Source organism: Homo sapiens, chromosome 16 (genome assembly GCF_000001405.40).
Source record: "Homo sapiens chromosome 16, GRCh38.p14 Primary Assembly".
NCBI classification, from domain to species: Eukaryota; Metazoa; Chordata; class Mammalia; order Primates; family Hominidae; genus Homo; species Homo sapiens.
The window spans coordinates 17,089,865-17,116,535 of NC_000016.10; the positions used below are offsets into that span (position 1 = coordinate 17,089,865).

A 26,671-nucleotide genomic window follows, 5' to 3' on the forward strand; every position below is an offset into this window, starting at 1 on the left:
AGATGACTTCCTTTAGTGGGAGGCCTTCCTTGTTTCTTCAGGATGTGGTTAGGTACCTGTATTAGCTTTCTACTGCTGCTTAACAAATCACCCCAAACTTAACACCTTAAAACAACAAACATTTCACATTTTCTGTGGGTCAGGAATTCAGGAGTGGTTTAGTTGTATGCTTCTGGATCAAGGTCTCTCATGAGTTGTAGTCATGGTGTTGGCCAGAGCTGCTGTCATCTGAAAGCTTGACTGGGGCTGGAGGGTCTGCCTTGAAGATGGTACATTCCCATGGGTGTTGGCAGAGGGCCTCAGTTCCTCATCTCGTGGGCCTCTTCATAGGACTATTTAATGCCCTTACAACCTGACAGTTGACTTCTCCCGTGATAAGGTTTGTGTGTCCCCACCCAAATCTCATCTCCAATTGTAGCTCCCATAATTGCCACATGTCATGGGAGGGACCTAGTGGGAGGTAATTGAATCATGGGGACAGTTTCCCCCATACTGTTCTTGTGGCAGTGAATAAGTCTCATGAGATCTGATTTTTTTTTTTTTTTTTTTTTCCTGAGATGAAGTCTCACTCTGTCACTCAGGCCATAGTGCGGTGGCACGATCTCAGCTCACTGCCACTTCCGCCTCCTAGGTTCAAACGATTCTCCTGACTCAGTCTCCCAAGTAGCTGGGATTACAGGTGTGTGCCACCACGCCCAGCTAATTTTTATATTTTTAGTAGAGACGGGGTTTTGCCATGTTGGCTAGGCTGGTCTCAAACTCCTGACCTCAGGTGATCAGCCCGCCTCAGCCTCCCAAAGTGCTGGGATTACACATATGAGCCACCGCGCCTCGCCAATCTGATGGTTTTATAAAGGGGAGTTCCCCTGCACAAGCTTTCTCTTGCCTGCTGCCATGTAAGGTGTCCCTTTGCTCTTCCTTTGTCTTCTGCCATGATTGTGAGGCCTCCCCAGCCGTGTGGAGCTGTGAGTCCATTAAACCCCCTTCCTTTATAAATTACCCAGTTTTGGGTATGTCTTTATTAGCAGTGTGAGAGCAGACTAATACACCCCAGAATGATCAATTCAAGAAAGAGTTGGGGGAAGCTGCAATGCCTTGTATGCCCTGGCCTCTGAAGTCACACACTTCTATCGTAATCTATTTGTTAGAAGCAATTCCAGTCAATCCATCTCACATTTAAGGGGGAAGAAAACTATGCTCTACCCATTGAAAGAAGGAGTTTCAAAGAATTGGTGAACATTAGTGACCCTTGTATCCTGTCCTTACAGTTCCTGCACTTACCCCTAAATTAGCTGTTAGCACACTGAGTTGTCATTGTCTATCTCTTTGACCATGAGTTCTTCAAGGATGAAGACTTACTTCCTTTCACAATATTTAGAATATTTCTAAATTCTGTCACAGTTCCTTAAATACTGTTTAGTAACCACTTATTTGGTGAATCAATGACCTGTTCTAGATGCCTGAAAGGTATAGATCAGTGCTTCTCAAACATTAATGGGCATCCCTGCAAATCACCCAGGTGTCTTGCTAAAATGAGGATTTTGATTCAGTAGGTCTGGGGTACAGCCCGAGACTGTTTTCCTAACAAGCTCCAAGGGGATGCTGTGCTCCATGGAGCACACTTTGAGTGGGTTAGGGTTTAGAAGATATGATCCCATTTCTAGATAAGCTTCATAACCCAACTGGGAAGACACACTTCCCCCAGTAGGGCAGCCCAAGGCTGGCCATGAAGTAGTGTCAGCCTAGTCATGGGCAAACCTGCAGTATACTGGACTCGCTTTCCCTCCAGCAGCCCTGATTGATTGAAGAGATGTCAGTGAAGGACAGTCAAGGAAGGGTCTGTGTGATATAGGAAGCCTTCCAAGTAGGCAGCATATTGTCATTTGGCTCTGGAAGGTAGAGCTGGGCGGGGGCCACTCATGTATATGCCAAGGGGTTGCATAGCGTGAGCAAGGGTGGAGGGAGGCTGAGTCAACTCCTTGGGGGGGATCTGAAAGAAAGCTGGGGTTGAGTGGTGGCAGGTGATGGAGTCCCCATCTACACCTCAGAGAACTCATGAGCCCAGACTGTCTGCTGTGGTTGAAGCACTACTTTTGCTGGAGGAAAAGGGTTAGACTATGAAACGTATTTGTACTATTCCTGCCAGTTCTTGAGATATGTGATTCTAAGGCTCATATTTTAGAGAAAATTGAGCAAATCCAGATGTTTTCTGTTCATACCCTGAATCTCACCTTCATCCTTGCTGTTCTGATTTTACCAAGGTGAGGCACGTGTGTGTGTGAGTGTGTGTGTGTGTGTGTGTGTGTGAGAGAGAGAGAGAGAGAGAGAAATCTGTCATCTCAAGTGGGGCATTGTCTTCTTATCACATGAAGGGCCAATGTAAGCGTAGGGTAATAATAATAATCCCCAATGTTTGGGGAAAGGTTTCACATCCATTTAGTCTAGTGGTGCTCAGCTGTAACTGCACATTGGAAACCCCTGTGAGCTTTAAAAATTACTGATGCCAGCAGGGCGCAGTGGCTCACGCCTGTAATCCCAGCACTTTGGGATGCCGAGGCGGGAGGATCACCTGAAAGAACAGCCTGACCAACATGGTGAAACCCTGTCTCTACAAAAATACAAAAATTAGCCGGGCATGATGGTGGGTGCCTGTAATCCCGGCTACTCAGGAGGCTGAGTGGGAAGAATCGCTCAAACCCAGGAGGCAGTGAGCTAAGATCACACCATTGAGCTCCAGCCTGGACAACAGAGGAAGACTCAGTCTCAAAACAAACAACAGAACACCTACTGATGCCTGGGTTCCACCTCCAGAGATTCTGATTTAATGGGTCTAGAGTGTAAGTTGGGCATCAGAATGTTTAAAACCTTCCCAGGTGATGCTACTGTGTGGCCATGGTTGAGAGCCACTAGTTTAATCTTAGATGAACCCTTCACTAATAAAGGTAAGGGTTCATGTAAGATTAAACTAGTGGTTCTCAACAACTAGATAAGATGACCTGTCTTTTTTTATTTTTAAAGAAATGAAAAAATTGTTTTTCAGCAAGTTGAGTGACTGCCTGAAATTCATACAACCAATAAGTAGGAAGGTCAGAACTCAAACTCAAGTTAGTTGGTTAGTGCTCGTTCAATTTGCATTACCAATGTTGCCTCCAGGTAGCTAGTATTATGCACATGACAAAGGAAGAGAACTTGAATTTAGATATCTGGTTAAAGGTCAGACTTTGAGTTAGGGTGTAGTTAGGGCTCTATATTTGTTTTTCTGTTTTTTGTTGTTGTTGTTTGTTTTTTTTACTATAAATCAGTTTATTGTGGTTCAAATAGATAAACTGACATTCAAACATCTTAAACTTTAGGAACAAAAGTTTAACATTTAAACAGAAGTACAGTTTTCAGGAAACATCCAGAAAATAATTTGTTATCTAATCCAGAGTACTGACAAAGATTTCTTCATGATAAATAAAGTGTGTTTCACCAGCAGATTTTTTTTCTTTTTTTTTTCATTCCTTCATAAAAATCACTGGCAGTTTGATTCAGACCAACTTCCTAATGACTGTGGCTCTGTACCTTAGAGGAAACTGCTAAATAAATCCCTTAGGTTAACCAATGAGATTGGCCTATAATTCAGAGGGTATAAGCAAAGCATGTAAGTGAACAAATTAAATTGTTCTTTAGAGATGATGTAAAAGCATGTCCATTACAGTAATTTTCGCCTCTGACAGATTATTCAATTTTCAGTGTTTTACTTTTTTCTGGGGGTGGGCAGGGGGTGATGTGGGAGGGAAGGGAGGGTCTTGCTCTGTTCCCAGGCTGAAGTGCAGTGACATGTTCATGGCTCACTGCAGCCTCAACCTCCTGGGTTAAATGCAATCCTCTTACCTCCGCCTCCTGAGTAGCTGGAATTACAGGCACACACTACCTTGCCCAGCTAATTTTTTAATGTTTTATAGAGGCATGGTCCCACTATGCTGCCCAGGCTGTTCTCAAACACCTGGGCTCAAGCAATCCTCCCACCTCAGCCTCCCGAAATATGTGGATTACTTGTGTAAGCCACTGTGCCCAGCCTTACCTGCTTTAAAACACAAACAAACGAGCAAAAAAAAAAACCCAAAAAAAAAAACACTTAGGTTTTCTTGGAGTCTGTGCTAGTTGCATCTTGCAAATGCAAACCATATAATGCTCTTTAATGAAAACCTTTCCATGCACACCACTGTTAGGAAGAGCATCATTAAATCACTGCCTTCTATACCCATAAAAGGATGATTTTGAGTTTCAAGTTAAATTTACTAGAGATAGCTTGTATATATCAATCATGTCACAAAAAAATATTTCCAAAGTGTTCTCTGTTCATAAATGTCACAAATGCTTCTCCTATTTGTCAGATCATTTTGCAACAGGTTAACTAATACTTATCTACATAAAAACCTGAAAATTGGCACAGGCAAGCATTTTGAATTAGTAGATTACCCCCATGGAACAGTATTCAGACTTACTTTGTCTTGTGGGCTCTGAGGCTCTGGGAGGTAGAGGTGGACCCTGACAGTCCAGGTCATCAACATCCACATTCAGTTGAAGCCTCTCCTCAGGCACAGTCCAGTACTGAATACCATTTATCATTCTGCAAAATGTTGTCTACATCTTTCAGGTGCTGGTCATTCTTAGATTAGCTTCTTAGCTGTTCTGTTGACGAACAGAAGACTTCAATTTTCAGGATGGATGTTCCAGCATCTTCCACAAGCTTTCACTTTCACATTTTTCACTAAATTATTTGTTATAAATTTGATCTCCTTCAAAAGTCCCCTGAAGTCAACTTTGGTTGTAATGTATTTGTCTCTAACGTATTCTTCAAATTCTCTTTGTTTTTTTTCCTGTCATTGGAGGAGAACTGCACCCAGAATCTTATTTTTACTACTTCCACGTGAATGTTAAGGTACACACAGAGGTTTCATCCAGAAGTCTTCCCTCTTCTTTCTGTTAAGTACTTCAATGTGCTCATTAAGCTTCTCTTTCTCTTCCCTTTCCAACAAAGATCTAGATTCCAAGTAGTGATCTTTTTGATGAGTCCTCTATCAAACTATGACACATGTGAAGAACATACCTGAACAACCCTCAGGGATAATGCAGGATTTTTTGAGAAAGTTCCAGGGTATCTCCTGGTGTCAGTGTACTTTCAGTCCTACACCTCAGAGTTTTTTCTTTTTAATAACAGCTTTATTGAGATACAATTCATACCTTACATTTAAAATGTATGATTCAGTGGATTTGAGTATATTCAGAGTTGTGCAGCCTACACCACAAGCTAACTGTAGGATATTTTCATCACCCTGAAAAGGAACCCTACACCCATTAGCAGTTACTCCATTCTACCTACAGCCAGCCTAGGCAACCACTAATCTTTCTGCTTATTCTGGACATTTCATATGAATGGAATCATCATGTGATATTTTGTGACTGGCTTTTTTCACTTAATGTTTTCAAGGTTTATCCACGTTTAGCATATATCAATCCTTTGTTTCTTTTTAGTGCCAAATAATGGCTATGGGCATGGGGTAGAATTGCTAAATCATACAGCAGCTGTTTCATCTTTCAAGGAACTGACAGTCTGTTTTCTGAAGTTGCTACACCATTTTACGTTCCCACCCGCAATTTCTGTACATCTTCACCAACAGTTACTATTATTTCTCTTTTTAACTACAGCCATTCTAATGAATGTGAATCTCAGGGTTTGTTTTGTTTTTTGTTTTTTGTTTTTGTTTTTGTTTTTTTTGAGACAGAGTCTCACTCTGTCACCCAGGCTGAAGTGCAGTGGCACGATCTCAGCTCACTGCAACCTCCACCTCCTGGGCTCAAGTGACTCTCCTGCCTCAGCCTCCCAAGTAGGCGGGACCACAGGCATGCACCACCACACCAGGCTAATTTTTGTATTTTTAGTAGAGATAAGGTTTCACCATGTTGGCCAGGCTGGTCTTGAACTCCTGACCTCAAGTGATCCACCTACCTTGGCCTCCCAAAGTACTGAGACCACAAGCGTGAGCCACTGTGCCCGGCCTCATAGTAGTTTTGATTTACACTTCCCTAATGATTGTGTCCAGCATCTACTGGCCATTTGTTAGTGGTTTTTTCTTCTTTAAAAAACTGCTGAGACATCCATAAACATTTTCAAAATGCAGGGTATGTTTTTCAGTGTTAAGGCAACTGTTTTGATGTGTTTTCCTTTGCTCTCTATCACCAAATACTGTACATACAAATAGTAAGACTGGGCTTTGTGTTGTCCACTGTCAATCCTAAATGAAACAAAATACATGGAGACTTTGAAAATCCGTCAGAATAATGCTATAGTTAAGATTTTGCTAAAGCAAGTGTTTTTTCTAACTCCTTGAGCTGCATATTGCCTTGAGTAATCATCAACCGGATTGTATCCTCTTCGGTGGCAGTTTTGTTTCTTCTGAATTCTTCCCTTGCCCAGTCCTTCAGGTATTTGCAATCAGAATCATTTGGAACTTGCCAAATTGTTTGCAAAATCCTTCTGTAGAGGAGAAGAATTTGTTGCCTTCTTATGAACGTGGGCACTGGGCAGCTGAGGCACCGGGACTCAGGGACATCAAGCGCCTGATGCATCTCATGCGACCGCACCAAAACCCAGGGCTCTATATTTCTAATGTCCCTGTTTGCTCTTCTCCTGTTTCTTTGAAGCCAAGTTTGGGCCGATACCCATATTAGATTAATAAATCCTAGGCTCCTTGATGACAAAGGTGATATTACTATCTGCTGATCCAAACCATGAATAGTCAAGGTTGAAAAATGAAATTGGCAGGAAGAAGTGTACTTTATTGGACCCAACCTTGCAATGTCAATGTTCTTAGTTCTGAGAAATTCTTGCTCCTGGAATTCATCCAGTTTCATCTTTGGATACCTGCAACCTCCCTGCTCACAACTCATTCTTGATTAAATTAGCAGATGCTGATGATAGAATGAGACTGAGGCCAGTGATGCTAAAATAATTTCTTGCTGGTGAAGGAGGCCCCAGAGGTTTTACAAAAAAATTTTTAAAAGCACCACCTAGGGAATAGAGCCAAAATGCTCAGACACTGCATGGAAGCCAGGGATTGTATTAAATCCGAGTAATTGGAGTGGAGAGGGAGAGTGTTTTGTAGTAATTGTCATCATAGCTGGCACCAGATCTCCTCTCAGGTAAGAACATAGAAGCTTGGAACTTACGAGAGAACTTAGCTTTCCAGTATTTTTTAGGTGTGGAATGTGAAGTCATGAGGGGGGCTGGTCTGCGAAGAGTCAGCAAGGTGAAAAGAGATAACAGAGTGTCTTGGGAGGTGCAGGAGAGCAGACAGAACAGGCAGGGAATAAAGAGAGGGAGATGGAAACGTGTCTGGAAGCTGGAAATTGCCCAGGCAGGTGGCCATTGAGAGATTTCTAAAACTTCTGAGAATGGGGGTATGTAATATTCTAAATCATTTGAAATCTTATGCAATCCTTTATCTGAATGCCTTGATGGAATCTGCTTTCTACATAGCTCTACAATTGTATTTTGAGGAATAAAGGGACCAGGGTACTTATTAGGGAGAGGTCATACAGTGCAGAAAGGAGAAAAAAAAAAAAGAACTTGCAGAATAAAGGGGTGATCTGTAAAATGAACCAATTCAGTGGAAATGAGACCCAGGGTTGTAGCTGAAGTTGACTCCCCAAGACCCTCCAAAGAGATTGGGGGGCAATACTGTGTCTCCCACAGTTTGGGGTGTTTTGAAAAAATCTCATTTAAATCTCTGAAGTCAAGGTGATGCCACTTTGTCGCAAATGGAGTCTTCAGGAAGATATCCAGTCTGCAATAGCAAATGTGGAGGCCAGACTAAATGGAACGCCCCTGAGGAAATTATGGATGTAGCAGCAGTCCAGTTCACACGCTCATTCATTCATTCATCAAACACTGGCACAACATCTTACATTGTCAAGGCATGTAATGTGTGCCGAGAATATAGACACTGTCCTTGCCTTCAAGGAACTTTCACCTTTGGAGTGAGAAGGCGAAAATAACTGATATTTACTGAGCTCTTTCTGTATGCAGATACTAGGCTATCTATTTCACAGGCTTTGTCTTTTTAAAATTCTCCCAGCAGCTTTATAGGTAATTATTATCCCCTATACGTGTGTGTGTGTGTATATATATATATGTGTATATATATGTGTATATATATATGTATACATATGTGTATATACATATGTGTATATATATGTGTATATACATATATGTGTGTATATATATGTATATACATATATATGTGTATATATGTATATACATATATATGTGTGTGTATATATATGTATATACATATATATGTGTGTATATATATATGTGTGTGTGTGTGTATATATATATATATATATATATATATATATATATATATATGGAATCTGAGGCCCAGAGAGATTAGGGAATTTGTCTCAAATCTGACTTAGCTAATCTATGATAAAAAAACAAATGTTTGGACACAGGATTATCTGACCCTTAAGTTGGGGGAGGGGTTCTTATTTTGGTCAGAGGCAATTGAAAATTGGCAGTAGGTGGATCAGTCTGGATGTGTAATTTGGAAAATATTCCCGGTGTTTTTCTGGAGTCTCACCTAATCTGCTCTGATGCCTAATAGCCCGTCCGTTACCAGTGCTTTCTAACACAGGGTTAGCCATTGCTATTCTCATCAGCTCTATGTTTAGAAGCTTAACGCATCGACTCAGCAAGCCACAAACACCGTATCATGGATGCGCTGGCTAGCACGAGCATTCTGTGGGCCTGCTAAGGGGACGGGGCAGTGGAGAGCGCAGTGTGGAGCCTGGAATACTGATGCTCCAGAAACGTGGAGAGAGATGCCGCTCTTCATGGCAGGTACGCAGGCCTTGCTTCCTGCAGCAAGTTAAAATCATCCACCATCATTAGCAAAGGGCTGTTACAAGGGCCTTTTTAAAGTGTCCTGTGCCCAGGCTACAAGGAGCAATCCATCATGTTCCATAAGCATAAACACTCCACAGCTAATTAAGTGAGGGTGAAATCATCTGCACCATCCATGTGATATTTATTTAAAATGATTTGCTTAAGATAGGCCCAGAGTCCTTCTCCTTAGGGAGGTATAGAGGAACTGGGAGGAGAAAATTTGGGCACTTGAGGAGCAGAAACGAATTGGACTGGCAAGCGGAGAAGCCACCTGGGCCTGCAGTTGGCTGTGGCAGTGAATGGACATCTGTTGTTTTTGTCTGTTCGACACCATCCTCTCCCGCCGGGGATCCATTTCTCTTCTACTCCTATCATGTAATGGGGATGGGGCTGCCAATCACAGTTTACCGTCCAATGCCCTGGTCGCAGGGGTCAGCATACCATCCAGGTTCAGCCAATCGTAGTGCCTTGTTTGCCTGATCTGAGTGATAGGTCCAGAGTTAGAGCCAGCCCTTTTGGCAGTGAGGACAAAGGACGTTGATATTTTTGTGTTATGGAGTTCAAAGGACAAGCAGCAAGAACTTCTGGGGCCTTCTTTATTTACCATGTGGAATTAGCTGTCTGTAGGAGATAATATCAAACAAAGGCCAGCAAAAATGGAGGAAGAGAGGGCTGTGAGTATTGGGGCTCCAGTTTCAGTTCTTGAGTCCCCTGAGTGCTGTCCTAGTTCTTGTAATTTGCGTTTTAATTGTTGTCTTCTAACGTTTCATAACTTAATACATTCCCCTTCTGATTACACGTCTGTGAATTGGGTTACTGTTACTTGAAAGTGAAAGAACCTTGACTAACATAGATGTGAACATCAACAATCACATCTTGGGAACATTTTCTTGCATGGAGCTGGCACCTTAACATGTTCTGTATTTGGTGCTGGGTGGCAATTGGACTGTACACTTACACGTCTGAACTTGAATGGACCCCAGGTATCAATAGGCCCCATTCTCCCATTTATTTGGCAGTTGAGGGGGCTGAGACTCATCATGGAAGAGAGACTCGCCATGATCACACAGCAAATCAGTGGCACAACCAAAGCTGTGAAGGGCCTGGGCCTCTTGGTTCTCAGGCCAGTACTCCCTGTCAGGGTTAGGGCTGATGATGTTTCCAGGCAGAGCAGTGGAACAAATGAACTAACTATGAATGCACAGGATCAAGAGTCTCCAAAACATGTCAGGCCAGCCATACCTCCTTTTTGCCCCAGCTCTAAGTTTCCACCCTTACAACTTGCCAACACCAGGTGGACTGAATTATTCTTGGTTTGGTCTCATGCTCAGAGACCCAGCCTAGAACTCAACTTTCAGCACCTTGGCAGCAAGGCCTCAAAGCCAACCGTACAAAAAGCCTAGATGTTTTCAACATCGGTGTGGTGTGACTTCAAAGCATGGTCATCTACGTATCCCATGGAGCCATGAAAGAGGCGGGCTGGTGGGGGTGGGTGCACTTGCTGAGACAAAGCTTTCTACTCTCACTTCACCCAGGGCACCCCTCCTAATCACCCATTTTTAAGTCTTTTTTTTTTTTTAAATATATATATATGTGGAGGTTTAAGGTACACTGCTTGAAAAAGCATTCCCCTTAAAGAAGAAAAAAAAAACTCTTAAAATCACGAATTTAATGAACTTAAACCCAGTAAATAAGCAGGAAAGAAATTCCAACTGACCCTTCAGTAGGCCCAGAAACCTCATTATTGAAGGTAAAAAATCACAGCTTACTTTACAATGACCCATATTTTGACAAATACTATCCATCAAATGATGGTTTTAAAGACAGAATCTTGGACAAATGGCCCCATGCCCATATTGTTAATTAATTAAGATATATGGTCTCATTCACTTGTCCGTTCACTGAATATTCACTGAGTGCCCATACGCTGGACTCACTGTGCTAAATACTGGAGGTACCACAGTGAATAAGATAACTGTGATCCTTACTCCTACGCAGATTTTAGAAATTTATTCTTCCCTTGCAACTGAACTCATTTTTTGAGGAATTATCTCCGGGCAGAGGAAAGGGAAGTTGGCTGTAAGATCAGGCTGGAAAGAGGTTTTGACAAATGAATCTTGGGTCCATCCATCTGTCTAAATATGGAGTCAGTCACCATCTCTCCTGAGCCAAGCTCAAGGAGGCTGAAGCTGACACAGCTCTCCATATATTTGCCCCTCTGTGTGTCTAATGGGGAGATATCTAGCCTATTTTGTTCTAGCTGCTAAAATCCTATCTGTGTCTCAGTGCCTGTCTTCCTTTAAGGATTTTGAAGGGTGAATTAGAAGCATCTTTACAACCCAGGCATCTAGGCTCCCAACCCCTGGGCATAGCCCTCAGAAACCACATATATACATAATAGTGAGCTAACCTCAGGGGTGGAGGAACTGGTCTTCCCAGTGACTTATGAAAGTCTCATTGGAAGATGGGAAACTTTGGTTCTAGACTTGACCCTGATGACCATGGGTAGCTTCAGGCAAATCCCTTCACCTGTCTGGCTCTCTACTTTACCGACTGAGTGAAGGAACCAAAATGTGGATTTTCCCAAAGAAACATTTGAATTTCCATTTCTGATTGGATTAATTAAGGTAAGGCTAGCCTGCTGTAATTGAAAGTCTCAGGGGCATAACAAAATACATATTTATTTCTTTTCATGTCATAGTCAATAGGGGTGACTCTGGTCAAGCATTCTTTTATGTGGCTATGCAGGGGCTCAGTTACCTTCCAAACTGTGGCTCTGCCTTCCTTTAAGGTAGAGGCTGTGCAAAGTTTCCAAAAAGACCACCTGAATAGGCCAAGTGGATGAATGTACAAAATCAAGGTGATTCAAAACATCTGAGCTGGCAAATAGGGAAAGATTGAGAGAGGAGAGACTCCAGTGGGAGGTTTTAGGGACCAGGGCTAGAGGTGCCATGTACCTATTCTACCTACATTCCATTGGCCTGAGTCAGTCACATGGCCATGGCTAAGAGCAAGGCAGTCTGGAAGATGCAGTCTAGCTGTTCCATTGGCCTGGTCACATGGTCACAGCTAAGAGCAAGGCAGTCTGGGAAATGTAGTCTCTGTGGTAAAGAGGAAAGGAAAACACGTTTGCCAACCAACCAACCAGTTGGGTATAGGAAACTGCAACTTTCCATGGCAGTCCCTTCTTGTTATTCTCTACTCAGTACGGGTTTAAAAATCATATACTTCTGCCTCAACCAGGAGGTACTTATAGGAGGTTGTTGCTATAATCCAGTTAGAAGATGACAGCAGTTTTTATGAGGGAAATGTGTCCACACACCCAGGTTTTCCCAGGATAGGCCATTTATGCCTGCAGTCTCAGCATCCCATCCACGTGGTGCTTCCTTTAACTCTCAAAAGTATCCCAGTTTGGATGATAAATTATATAGTCATCCTATCTTCACCATGCAGATGACAGAAGAGAATATGAGATTGTGTAAAGATGCACAATGTTGCTGAAAAGAAGCCACATATAGTCACTGTTCCATAAAGGCAGTGTTTTTTTAATTTTAAAATTCTGCATCTGAAAACACAGTATGACAGAAAGCATCTATATACACCTGCAGTGTTTTTGGTATGATACAGTATTTAATACATCCACTGTTTTCTGCAAAAAATGTTGCTTTGTCAGACAGAAACAAACTCCCCTAGACAAAAAAATACAGCTAAGGCACAATTTTGTTGTTGTTGTTGTTCTGCAAAATAAAAAGACAGAAAAGGTGCAAAAAAGGGCAGGTAATGCAGTCATTTCTGAGACTCACATTCTACCTCAAGGAAAAGCATTCAGATGATTGGAACTTTGATTACTGGTCAATTTCAGATAGTTCAATATCTCTTAAAATACTCCTTTAAATAAATAGCAAAATATCTACATATTTCAGCGTGTGCCATTTGAATTCTTTTTTTAAAACTTTATTTACAGATTTTTTTTAAAATCAACACATTACAAAATATTTCTGTACAGTTTTATGCATATTATGATCTATAACAAAATAGTTATTTTTAAAAACTATATCACCACATGTCTTTGAAAACAATGAAGGGGACGGTAATAACTTAGAGTGAGGCCTCTAAAACAAATACCCAAACAAATGCTATTGACAACATAATATTTAAAAAAAAAAAAGGCAAAAGGACTACAAAGACAATTGCGCACAATTCCAGTGAATTTCCTATGAAAACCCTGGGGTTGTCTTTGGCCTCCATCAGCACTGGAGCAATGGAAGGGTAAAGAATAGAGTCTGAAGGTAGGGAAAGGGTGATTCCTTTGAGAACACTACCCATCTGCTGGGAATATTTAGTGCTATCACTTTCCAGGCAGGAAGGACGAAGAGATAAATGGAGAACGTCTCCTGATTTACCCTTGAATGAAGTACATATAAAGTCACCCAGTCTTGGGGGCAGGGGAGGTCTGCAAAGCCTTTTCAAGCACTCTGCCGATAATTAAGCCAGCCCATTACAGCAGCAGTATGCTCTGAGAGAGTGCTTCAGGAGTTGGCTGAGCTTTAGATGAGCACCCAAGCCTTCATTTTGCCCATAGGAAAAATATAAGAACATTTTTCTTAAAGACGACATTTGTAAGCAATTCCTATAGCATCTGCCAACTACAGATTGGCAGCCCCTTCCTTAGGAGGCTGCCACAGAAGCTTCACGATGCTGTCTTCTCTGATGTTGGTGGAGATGGGAGGGAAAGGATGGATGGTCAGCTTCCCAAAAATAATGTTAAGGCCACATTTCAAAAAGGAGAAACCTAAGGCTTTTGTTTTGTTTTGTTTTGTTTTTGAAGGAGGGATGGGAGAAGCAAGTTGGAGGAACATGAGGGATGGAGTAGATGACGTTAGGGAGGGGGATGACAAGGTGCAGAACCCGCTTTCTGGTGGTATCTGTAGGCAGAGGCAGTTGGAATATTCCCAGCCAAGTGGAGAGGGAAGAGAGGTCACTTTCTCCCTGCATACGCCTGGTAAGACCAGAGCCAAAGACAACGTGAGGGGTAGACACAGGTGGCGCAAGAAAGCCCTCCTCCATCTTAAGAGGGTCCTATACAGTATCTTGTTTGCAAGGTAAACACAAAACAAAACAAAACAAAACAAAAAAACTTCTAAGAGAGCCAGAGAGGAAGAGAGAGAGGAGAGAGAGAATTTGCATAGATCATACATTCAGCTCAAGCAGATTTGGACAACTTTGTTCCCCCCTCCCAGGTAAACTTCTCAGCAGACACAATGAGGTAGCGCCTGTGGTAGACCCATGGGCAAAGTAAGGTAACTGAGGCAGAAGCAAACAGGACATCCCGTGAGCCAGCACAGCTCTATGTGGTTTCCAAAGAGGCTTCCAGGGATGGGACAAGATGGCTGTGTCAACACTTGGGATTTGGAGAGAGCCTGGCTGTTTCACACCCTACCTCCTCCTCCTCCTAGACTGTCTTTGCCATTTCGGCCTGGTTTGATGGAGTCCCACAAGCTGTAGCCCCAGGCAGATGTGGACCTCTGCATATCTAAGGGGCAGCAGTCCAGATCTCCAGATTCTATTCCTTCTTCCCTTCAGCACAATCTTGGGACCAGGAGAGCTGAATGATCCATCCCCCCTCTGTGGAATGGTCTCTTGAGGAGTGGAATGACTTAGCAAGAGGTCCCCATTCCGAGTTCAACATGGGCTGTTATTTTTGCCCTGACCTGATGCTGGCTTTTTTCCTCTTCTACCAGGGCAATGCATAATCTCACTTTAAACCACCTCTCCAGAGAGCAGAGGTTGCTGGCAGTGTACACGTGGAACAGTGGAATTTTTCTTTGCCCACTATCTGTTAAAAAAAACAAAAACAAACAAACAAACAACCCGACGTTGAAAAATCAGATTTTTTCCATTAAATCTGGATTTCCGGCTTCCCTTCCAAATTGGAAGATTCCACTACACTGTGCTTACATTTTTACAAACAATGACAGGTTGGGGCTGAGTAGCAGCTGCTCATTCTGGGTAGGTCACGTGCATGCCAGTAAGACCACAGTCCCCATCCTTGCCCCCACCATGCCCTTTTGCCTCACACCAACCATTTCACGCATCTATGCTAGTATTCTGGGCCCCATAAACATTTGTAACCCCTACCACAGTGTGTGGCTTTGATCCTGCAGGTCTAGCTTGCTGTCTTTAAAGTGGAGTGTGTTAACAGCTGTTTCTAGAATGTACACCTCTCCACCCCTAGATGTACCCCTCCACCTGAATGTACACCTCTCCACCCCTCGATACTGCTGGGAAGCTGGTGCTCCAAATCCTCAGTGAACTTGGTTGTGAAAGGACTCTTTATTCACACCCCACTGCCAGTAGCTACTGCCCTGCTCTCTGCATCTTTTTGGCAGAAAGCTTAAGGTTCTAGCCAGTGTCTTCTGTGTTATCTGCAAACTAGAGAACCAGAGGGAAACATGGTCTTCAGACACCCTACTTGTGCCCAGAGTAGAAGCAATTGCAGTGAGTGAGAGATGGGGGCAGGTCCTGTGGTTCTGCTCATCCTCTCTAAACTCCATTTGCGTTTTAGAAGTTAAACCCACAATGAGAAATGAAGCCGGAAGGACTCATGATCTCACCAGGAAAGCCTTTTTTTTCCCCTGCAAAGGGAGAAAGCAGCGCGCTTCTCACAACACGGGGACCTTGGGAATTGCTCACTGCCTCCTTGGAGACACACTGCTTTACGTGTGGACCGGGAAGTGAAGTGGGATGTGGGAAGGCTGGCTGTCTCCTGAGCTCAATTTCTGCCTGAATGTCACTCGGTGGGTGGGAAACTATAAGGAGTGCCGCAGCCTAAAGAATGCTTCCTTCTCCACAAACCAATACCCCAAGGCCCACCTGTCAGCCTTCCTGAGTTTCCAGGGACCTCGTCACTGGCTCAGCTCACAGCTGCAGGCTGTAATAGGTTTCCAGAGACCACAGCCCTATGCTTTTGAAATCTTCCACAGCCCAAGCTCCAGGCTGTCTGACCAATGGCCTCCAACAAATAAATAAATCATTCTCAGGCAGGTTAAAAAAATTATTTTCCCTGGGAAAACATCCTCTTTTCTCAAATCATGCTGGGCTTTGTTTGGGATTTTCCTTAAAAAAAAAAACAAAACACAAAAACACAACAAATGTAATATCTGCAACCTTATTCTCTGGTCTATTAATTAATAACATCAGAGAAGGGAGAGGAATACCCTGTGTGACTTCTCAGCTCCCCGAATTAGTTGTGGTGAGGAAGAAATGAAGCCATGGGAAAAAGGGAAGGGTCCCCAGAGTCAGCCAGCTCTGCCATTTCTCCACTTGTTCCAGGATAAAAACAAAAAAAGGCAGACATGTTAGTGGGTGCAGGAGGGGCCCCATCTTGAAGTCTGCAGGTTCACATTATGCACAGGGACTTGCCACTGCTGAGTCCCCAAAGCCACTGCAAATAACGCTGCGAACACAAAGCACTGGTGGCCCAGCAAGGAGGGTGAAAGGGAAGCTCCCAAAGTGGCTTCGGCAGCCCCAGGGAAACCCTGGCCAGAGGCAGAGGCCGGGGGCAGAAAGAGGATGTGGCACCCAGCGCGTGGCCACCATAGAGTCTGTAAAAGAGATCATAGGGGCTTTCTGAGAAAAGTACCCTGAGATCCCTGGAATCGCTGTTGAGAATGGCTATCTCCCGGACTCTGCTGCCTGGATCTGACGACCCTCCTCCTAAGATGGATCTCTCTCAAAGGAGCCTGTTTCCCTCTGTTAAGGTCGCATGAATGCCCATAATTAGATGGGCCATGGGAAGGCAACCACGGAGCAAGCAGGAATGGCCCAAACTCTCTGCAGCTAGCACATTCCCCACAAACTCTCTGCAGCTAGCACATTCCCCACTCACCCTCCACGTTTTCTGCCTGTCACCTCCTTGTGCCTGTGACGGGGGGTGAGTAGGGGGAGGATGGGAGGCTCAGGAATTCCAATACTCTTGGAATCCGAGGGAGAGTGAGGCTGACACTCTGCATAAGGAAAAAAACAAGGCTCCAACGGTCCCCAAGGCACCCCACTCAAAGCCAGTGGAAGATGCGGGTTGGAGCTTTCTTTGCGTGGTGTTCGATGCCCCTGCTTTACTCTGAGGATGAGGAGGATGGGGGGTAGACGCAGAGAAAGAGAAACCGAGAGAGAGAGAGACACCAGGGGGTGGGAAAAGATGGGAAAAGGGGCCTTTTGTGAATAAAGGCAGCTTCAGTTAGTAAGGTAACATAATTGACAAGCTGCAAAAACAGCACCTACTAATTAGTCATCGACTAAAACATGTAAATAATAAATATCTAAAGTGTCCCTTCTCTACGTCCTCCATTGCCAACAGGACACCCTGCCTTGCGAGGCTTGGGATGGGGCAACACATCTGGCTAGGATTAGGACAAGTCACACAAAGCGAAGGGCAGCCCCTTCAAACCCACGCTGGAGAGAAGTGTCAGGACTGGCTCTCCATGGGAAGGGCAGATGGCTACCAGGGGTGAGACCTTTTTCCAAGGGAATCCCATCATTCAGGGGAGGTGGGATTACAGGAGCAAGGGAGGCCTCCTGCGAAGAGCTCTCCTGGTGAACAGGGATGACACTCCAGGGGGCTCGTGGCAAGGAAACCTTTTGGGTTTCTGGTAACTCAACACTTAAATCATACTGTTTTTTGTTGTTTAAATAACCTTCCCATTTTTATGTTGCATGTCCCGTTGAGCCTGTGGCCGAAGGGCATGAAATTAAAAACCAAATCTGAAATGCTATTTCCTGGACGGGAAAAGTCTGGTTCATGTGGTTTGGTCACTCCCAACAGCACCGGTGTGCAATTGACGAAGGTTTTGTGTGTCTGACCTCAGAACGGAAGGGCTCTGGCAGGGGATGGGTGCTGCTGTGCTGTCTAGCTCAGGAGTTTTGCTCCAAGCATTGCTTTGTGAGTTTCATCGCGTTGCCTTGTGAGTTTCATGGTCATGGCTGTCAAAGTTCCCATTTTCAAGGATCAAAGAAGGTCATGGTCTTGAGTCTGGTGCTCACAAACATCATCCTATTTCTGCTACTTTGTGTGGCAGCCTTGAGGGAAGGAGGCCCAGACCCCTGGACAGGTGGCAGTTGCACTTGTGGCTGGACCTTGGCCATGCCACATCAAAAGGCTTTCCCACTTACCTAGTTACTAAGGAGAATAGTTCAACCCAAGGAGGGCTGCTGAGAGGCTCAGAGCTCTCCTAAGGCTGCAGCCTCCATGGGAAAGGGCCCACGACCATGACTTTCAAGGCTGGCACCAGAGTCCCCCAGCCAAGAGAAGCAGAAAAATGAACCAAAGGGCAGGGCTGGAGTTTGAACCCATGGTTGGTCTGGGCAGTGCTTGTCAAACTGGCATTTGCAGAGCCCTTGGGTTCTGAAGAGGTACCGTAGGAGATACCCTGGGCAAGGGGACCGCCCAGAGGGCTGAGCTTTGGGAGGGAACCTCGCACTTGTCAGCTTCAACCAGAGCAGCTTGGATTTCGTCAGCACCCTGAACCTCCACTTATGACTGTGCTCCGTAAACGAAGTTCTGCTGCTCGAAAGAAAAGTCTGAAAATCACACGTCTGGGGTCAGGGGTGGGTCACTGGAAGGGGAAGACAAGGAACCTGTAGGACTTGAGGATCAACCAGAAGAGGTGAGACAGTCACAGTGCAGGGACTGAGCCATCCCACCCGCAGCTTGCCAAAGGCAGGTTGTTGGCTGATCCTGCTTTGACCTGCTGACCTTCCCTTTCCATCATTCTATGGCCAGGAGAGACCCATTCACAGAGGGCCTCCCCCAGGGTGGGAGGCCGGGGTTCAGGCCCCACAACCCCTCTGGCTGCTTTCCCGTTGAGATCCTGCTGTGGCCCACTCCTCGTGCCCAGTGCTACCTGAGCCGGCCATCAGGTTTGACTGCCCCCAGCTCCGACTTGGGGTCAGGGCTGAAGGAGCTCCAGGCCGTCTGGCTGCAGGTCTGCATGACCGGGCAGGCTGTGGGGCCCGTGGCACAGATGTCCATGGCAGTCCACATCCCGCCCACCAACGAGTCCAGCCATCCCTCCAGCGCTGTGCCCGTGGAGGCTGCGTTCCTCCGTGCCTGTTCCACCTGGGCGGGGTTGATGGGCAGGCTGAGGACGGGGTTTAGGCTCTGGAAGCTCTGCTCCATGTAGGCATTGCGGAGGGGCCCATTGTGCAGCTTCAGTGCCTCCTCTGAAAGCCAAAGGGAACAATTTCAGGATCAGAAGAGCCACCAATAGGATGCCTATTCATACTTACCCTGTGCCTGGTGCTGCACTGGGTGCCATGCATCGCCTCATTTAATTCACATGACAATCTCATGAGGAAGTTCTTTTAGCAGTCCCATTTCACAGCTGAGAAAACTGAGCCCGTAAGGACAGAGCCCACTTTGTACAGGGCACGGTGCATGCCTTTATTCATTCAACACATGTTTATAGCGCATCTTTGATAGTGCAGACACTGATTCAGCCAATATATATTTTTAAGCACCTACATTGTGCCAGGCATTCAGTCAACACATATTTACTAAACACCCATGATCTGCAAGGCACTGTCTCATTTGATAAAGACATATTAAGTACCTATTAGGTACCAGGATCTATTCTAGGTGGTGGAGCAAACCAGATAGGAAGGTTAAGATCCAGTGGAGGGAGAACAACAACAAAGAAATAAGTAGATAAATAAGGTTATTTCAGGCAGTGATAAGTGTCATGAAGGCAAAAAAACAGGGTATTGAGACAAGAGGGTTGGCAAACTGCAGTCCTTGGGCCAAATGTGGCCCACCACTTGTGTTTGTAAATAAAGTTTTATTGGAACATGGCTGTGCCCATTTATTTGCATATTGTCTGTGGCTGCTTTTGTGCTACCAGAGCTGAGTATTTGAGACAGACTGTATTTTACCCAACAAGCTGAAAATATATCTAGCCCTTTACAGAAAAATTTTGCTGACTCCTGGGTTGGAGAGTGACAGTGACCTGTACCCAGGTCTGTTTGGGAAGTCCAGATCTCAGCTGCCGAGCGTCCACCTTGTACTCTGCGTAAGTTGGATTTCTGCTTCCTAGAAGCCTAAGGGTGCATGAACTGACCACAGAACAATCACTCTGAAAGCATGAAGCTTGGACCCGGGTGAGGTGGGGTGGGAGGTCAAACTAGCTCTCATAACAGTGCTGCCTTGCTGGGCCCCTCCTATGTGCCAGTCACTTTGTGAAGCACTTCATACAAGAGCCCAGGTACTGCAGTCATGCTGTCTGGTTTTGCAGCCCCACGTCCAACATACCAGGTGTGTGACTTCTGACCTCCATGCCTTGTACCTCAGTTTCTTCATCAATAAAATGGGTAAAGTACTAATGCCTTCCTTCTCACTTTGTGAGGCTTAAGTGTGCTGACTCATATAAAGTATTTACAAATGACACCTGGCATATACTAAGTGCTGGGAAAAGCTTAGCTAGTGATATGGTTTGGCCGTGTCCCCACCCAAATCTCACCTTGAATTGTAGCTCCCAGAATCCCCACGTGTTGTGGGAGGGACCTGGTGGGAAGTAATTGAATCATGATGAGTTTTTGCCATGTTGTTCTTGTGATAGTGAATAAGTAAGTCTCATGAGATCTGATGGTTTTTTAAAGGGGAGTGTCCTTGCACAGGCGCTCTGGCCTGCCACCGTGTAAGATGTGCCTTTGCTTCTCCTTTGCCTTCCATCATGATGGTGAGGCCTCCCTGACCATTGAAACTGTGAGTCCATTAAACTTCTTACTTTTATAAATTACCCAGCCTCAGGTCATTATTAGCAGCATGAGAACAGACAAATACAGCTAGGATTATTACTGTTGGTATTAGTCCATAATCCTCACACACCTAAAAAACTAGGGGGCTGGTTTTATCATTCCTACTTTACAGATGGGGAAAGAGAGGCAGCTGGAGTTAGAGACAGATCTGGGGTTAAATCCAGGACCGACTGACTCCAAAGGCAGTGCTTATCACTCACCCTGATACTCTACTGCTCAAGGCCATCACCAAGGTCTGATTTTTCACTCATGCAAAAATTCAAACAATTGGGCCAGGCACGATGGCTTACACCTGTAATCCTAGCGCTTTGTGAGGCTGAGGCAGGTGGATCACCTGAGGTCAGGAGTTCGAGACCAGCCTGGCCAACATGGTGAAACCCCGTCTCTACTAAAAATACAAAAATAAGCCGGGCGTGATGGCTGATGCCTGTAATCCCAGGTACTCGGGAGGGTGAGGCAGGAGAATCGTTTGAACCTGGGAGGCGGAGGTTTCATTGAGCCGAGATCACACCATTGCACTCCAGCCTGGTCGATAGAGTGAGACTTCATCTCAAAAAAAAATTTTAAAAATTGCAACCTCAGGCATAAATGGGTTAAACAGTAACATGTACGTAAGAGTGACTACTACTACTACCTCCCAGGGCTGCACGATGAGGAATCAGGAAGTATAGCAATTTGGGGTGAAGGAAAGAAGCTAAACACTTCTATTATTTCTAATAGATGCTATTTCTAATATTTTGAAGACGTTCACATTCATTGCTTGTTTTATTGCTCAGTAGAAGCACATATATATTTTTAAAAAGGCTGGCCAATGAGTCTGGTGAGTTGCGCTTTACCAAATCAGGCTTTGCGAGAGCTGAGATAGCTAGGATTACAAGAAACCTTCCAAGATAATGCAGTGTTCAGAAGACAGTGCTTCCTGTTTGCCTGACAGCAGCTGCCACCACCAAAGGCACCCAGGACAGCCTGGATATTAACAAGTGTCCAGAGCAGGCAAGAAGAAGGAAGAAAGACCATATGCTAACCCTTCTAAAAGCAGTGAGAATAGTAGATGAATTCAAAATTTGCCTTGACTAACACAGACAAGATCGCCACTCCTTCAATTCCCAATGCCCCAGGAAGCAAAAGGGTTGGGTTCTGTGGTTTGGATGGGCACAAGTGGGAGGAAGGAGGTGAGCAGTCATTGAGCACATACTCTGTCTCGCAAGGGGTTTAGCAAAGCTGCTTTCTCCCACGGTAGTTAGGAGCCACAGTGTTTGGAAGTCTGGTCCTAACCCATCTTTCTCTAATACAGGGTAGGGTGGGCAGCTTCAGCCCCACCTGCCAGGAGAACAGAGCCTGCTGTCTTTGGTGCGGGCCCTAATTTCTCTATCAGAGCCCCTTAGTGCCTCTATTCTGCAGAGTGAGAAAGTGGAGAATGAGGAGATACCGAAACTGACAAAAGGCAGGACATTCAAAGGGAAAAGAGCAGCTAACAAACCTGCGAACGCTGGGAGCCAAATATTGTGGTTGATGCAAAAAAACCCTTATGAGAAATGAGGTTAATGTGGGAAACGCTATTACAATATTAGCTTGCGATGCTCGTCTCTATAATTAAATTTTCCTCAATTCCACCTCATCGGATTTCTTGCGATTACCAGGGACGCATCAATAGAAAATTACTCTTGATGAATCATTTTACAAATTGCATTGCTCCCACCTTTGTGTTCACTGTCATTCATTGGAACATCGCTAACAAATACAATTACCAAGGACAGGAGGGCTGCTCTCGGTGGGGGTAAAATGACTCCTGGGTCATCCTGGGCATGTGTAGGGAGAGCCCTGCCTTCCTTAGAAACCCTAGAAGAAAACACTGGAAAAATCAGGACCCCATGAATGGCCCCCAGGCTACTCCACTGGCGTGGGGGTGTGTTCAGGAGCACTGCTTCATTCTGACCAACAGGTGTACCTGAAGCAGCGAAGACACAGCCATTTACTCCCCTCTCCTCCATGTCTGGCATTAGACATCGTTAGAGATGGTAAAGATGTGAACTAGATCAAGAAGGAACCTAAGACCTCTAAGGGGGTGGGATTGGGCCTGGTCAGCTCTGGAGGGGCTGTCTTTTGCCTGGTTCATGGGGAAGAAGGAGCAGGCTTCCAGCTCAAGAAAACATGAGGTCTCTGTCTTTCTGCTTGCTCTGCACAAAGACAGCAGAAGCTGAGCGTTTACTTCGAGACTCCTATGATAGAGGATTGATTGATTCTTTTTTTGAGACGGAGTCTCGCTCTTGTTGCCAGGCTGGAGTGCAATGGCATGATCTCAGCTCACTGCAACCTCCACCTCCTGGGTTCAAGCAATTCTCCTGCCTCAGCCTCCCGAGTAGCTGGGATCACAGGCACACGTCACCACACCCGGCTAATTTTGTATTTTTAGTAGAGACGGGGTTTCTCCACGTTGGTCAGGCTGGTCTTGAACTCCCGAGCTCAGGTGATCCGCCCACCTCAGCCTCCCAAAGTGCTGGGATTACAGGCGTGAGCCACCGTGTCTGGCCTATTTATTTATTGTTTTGGAGATGATAGAGTCTCGCTCTGTCACCCAGGCTGGAGTGCAGTGGTGTGATCTTGGCTCACTGCAACCTCCACCTCCCAGGTTCAAGCGATTCTCATGCCTCAGCCTCCTGAGTAGCTGGGATTTCAGGCACCCGTCACCATGCCTGGCTAATTTTTTGTACTTTTAGGAGAGACAGGGTTTCACCACATTGGCCAGGCTGGTCTTGAACTCCTGACCTTGAGTAATCCGTCCACCTCAGCCTCCCAAAGTGCTGGGATTTCAGGCGTGAGCCACTGCACCAGGCCATGATAGTGGTTTTTGTCCACGGTTCTTGGCTCAGAACTCCTGTAACCCTTCTTACAGTCTTTTCTTACAATGTTGGGCACTTTAGGACTCAGCAAATAGAATCTCTCTCTCGCTCTGGCCTCCTCCTGTCCCCCTTCTCCTGCCTAATGCCAGAGTCTAATCAGATTGTGGGTGATAGGACTCTCATTCCAGAGAGGGCCCTGACACACTCCCTGGAGGAAGGAATTACTGCACAGAGAGGCCAAGGAGAATCTGAACAGACAGGGCTTGCTGAGTTAGGTCAGACCCTTTTTGTCCAATCACATTTTGACACAGTTGTCATGCTTCAGTCATGGGTAACCAATGAAGTCTTCATAAAAGGCCCAAAGGACAGGGTTCAAGGAGCTTCTGGAGAGCTGAATACATGGTAGCATCTTCACAGGAAGGTGAGGAAGAACTCATCCACCTGCCGGGACGGTGGGCACCCCAATGCCATGGGGACAGACTCATCCACCTGCCAGGAGGGTGGTGCACCCCAATGCCATGGGGACAGATTCATCCACCTGCTAGGAGGGTGGGCATCCCTATGCCATGGGGACAGACTCATCCACCTGCCGGGAGGGTGGTGCACCCCAATGCCATGGGGACAGATTCATCCACCTGTTGGGAGGGTGGGCACCCCAATGCCATGGGGACAGAAGCTCCTGCACTCAGGACTCCTCTGGACCTTGCCCTCTGTATAGCTTCATTTGGCTGTTTATCTGCATCCTTTAAAATATCTTTCATAACAAACCAATAGACATAAGTGTTTCCCTGAGTTCTGTGAGCTGCTCTAGCAGAGTAATTGAGCCCAAAGAGGGGGTTGTGGGAACCCCAGTTTGAAACCATTTGGTCAGAAGTTCCAAAGGCCCAGACTTGTGATTAGCGGGCAGAAGGGGGTGGTCTTATGGCACTGAGCCCTCACTCTGTGGTGTCTGATGCTACCTCTGGGGTGGAGAGTGTTGGAACTGAATTGGGGGACACCCAGCTGGTGTCTGCTGCAGAACTGATTGCTTGCTTGCTGACGGGGAAAATTTCCCCATGTATTTTGCTGTCACAGAAATCTTCTGTGTTGATCATGGCAGTGTGAGAGCAGAGGAAAAGTGGTTTGAGAGTTTTTCCCAAACAACTCCCTTTGCTAGGACTCAAGGCACCTCCTCCCCATGCTGTGTCCCCATCCCCTTGCATCATTGGCTAAAAGGCACCCAATCCAGAACTCTTCAAAGCTAAGAGGCTGTAATGCATTTCTGGCTTTTGAGTTTGTGATCTGTTAGAGATGGACATGAATAATTCCAAATATAGAGAGACCCAGAAATCCTGTTTCTACGAGTTTGTGTTATGGATGTAACTGCATGGGAACATACAATTTTTTTTTCTTTTTTGTTTTTGTTGTTGTTTTTTGAGACAGAGTCTCGCTTTGTCACCCAGGCTGGAGTGCAGTGGCGTGATCTCAGTTCACTGCAAGCTCCGCTTCCCGGGTTCACGCCATTCTCCTGCCTCAGCCTCCCGAGTAGCTGGGACTACAGGCACCCACCACCATGCCCAGCTAATTTTTTGTATTTTTAGTAGAGACAGGGTTTCACTGTGTTAGCCAGGATGGTCTCGATCTCCTGACATCGTGATCCACCCGCCTCGGCCTCCCAGTGTGCTGGGATTACAGGTGTGACCACCGCACCCGGCTGGGCACATACAATTTTATGTTTAAGACTCTTCCTTGTTGGGGCTGGGTGTGGTGGGTGGCTCACGCCTGTAATCCCAGCTCTTTGGGTGGCCAAGGTGGGAGGGTTGGTTTAGATCCAGGAGTTTGAGACCAGCCAGGACAACACAGACCACACAACCACAAAAATAGTTAAAAAAAAAAAAAAAAAAAAAAAAAGCCGGGCATGGTGGCACACTCGTGTAGTTTCAGCTACTTAGGAGGCTGAGGTGAGAGAATTACTTGAGCCCAGGAGCTCGAGGCTGCAGTGAGCTATGATTGCATGACTGCACTCCAGCCTAGGCAAAAGAGCCTGACCTAAATTCTTTTTTTTTTTTTTGAGACAGAACCTCGCTCTGTCACCCAACTGGAGTGCAGTGGCATGATTTCGGTTCACTGCAACCTCCGCCTCACAGGTTCAAACGATTCTCGTGCCTCAGCCTCCCAAGTAGCTGGGACTATAGACGCCGGCCACCACACTCGGCTAATTTTTGTATTTTTAGTAGATGGGGTTTCACCATGTTGGCCAGGCTGGTCAGGCTGGTCTCGAACTCCTGGTGTCAAGTGATCCGCCTGCCTTGGCCTCCCAAAGTGCTGGGATTACACGTGTAAACCATGGCACCCAGCCAACCTCTGTTATATTAAAAAAAAAAAAAAAAAAAAAAAAAGACTTTTCCTTGCACTATTATCAGTAACATCATCATCATCAGCAGCAACAACAGAAACTTATGTGTCCACCAATAGGGGAACAGATAGATTGTGGTTCCTTAACCCAGTGGAATATCATGTAGCTGGTAGCTTTATATATACTGACTTAGAAAGTAAAAAAAAAAAAAAAAAAGCAATCTTACAGTACACAATGTATTATTTCATTTTTAAAAAATAGCAAAGGTTTTGTGATTTATGGTGTGTATTATGTTTATGCTTTACAAGTATGGAAAAACTTCTAAAAGGATTCACACCAGACTGTTGGCAGTGGTTTCTCTAGAGGTAGGATTTGAGCAGGGAGAAAGACTTTCCCCTTAATAAAAGGAGGTGAAAAGGGGCGGGGGAAATAGAAGTATAAAAGTAAACCCTTTCAATGGACAAAGAAAAAAGTCAGGCAGGATAGGAACTGACATCCCAGTCCCTGTTCTCCATGGGGATGGAAACCCTGACCTGAATTTCATGTTAATTTCATGTTTCATTTCCTAACAGCTGCCTTTGACATACGACTCCTGAAATAAGATATTGTTGACTTTGCCTGTTTTTGAACTTGACATAAATACATCATAATTATGATTTATCTGTGATATTTCCCCCTCAACACTATGTTTTAGGGACTCATCCAAGCCAACACATGCCCATGCTTTACTGCTATTCACGGCTGCATAGTACT

At 45.2% G+C, this 26,671-nt stretch overlaps 1 protein-coding gene and 1 pseudogene across 2 annotated transcripts in view, besides 3 other annotated features; both read right to left on the bottom strand.

The window, feature by feature from the left end:
- TCERG1P2 (TCERG1 pseudogene 2) lies at positions 4,489–5,063 on the bottom strand (annotated as a pseudogene).
- Positions 11,905–26,671, bottom strand: part of XYLT1 (xylosyltransferase 1) — a 369,192-nt gene continuing 354,425 nt past the window's right edge. For both annotated transcript variants that reach the window (XM_047434458.1, NM_022166.4), the window contains one exon: positions 11,905–19,153. In XM_047434458.1, coding sequence (XP_047290414.1) covers positions 18,831–19,153 — 323 coding nt within the window. In that variant the 3' untranslated portion in view covers positions 11,905–18,830. The remainder of the gene's footprint in view (positions 19,154–26,671) is intronic.
- Positions 16,477–16,546: a silencer, noted in NCBI's record as "silent region_7234". NCBI's record gives its function as "represses an Ori minimal core promoter by ATAC-STARR-seq in GM12878 lymphoblastoid cells {active_cell/tissue: GM12878}" and the evidence as "EXISTENCE:reporter gene assay evidence [ECO:0000049][PMID:35858748]".
- Positions 16,477–17,061: a biological region, named in NCBI's record as "H3K27ac-H3K4me1 hESC enhancer GRCh37_chr16:17200215-17200782".
- Positions 16,494–17,061: an enhancer, noted in NCBI's record as "H3K27ac-H3K4me1 hESC enhancer chr16:17200215-17200782 (GRCh37/hg19 assembly coordinates)". NCBI's record gives its function as "activates a minimal SCP1, AML or CMV promoter by ChIP-STARR-seq in naive H9 embryonic stem cells {active_cell/tissue: H9 hESC(naive)}" and the evidence as "EXISTENCE:reporter gene assay evidence [ECO:0000049][PMID:30033119]".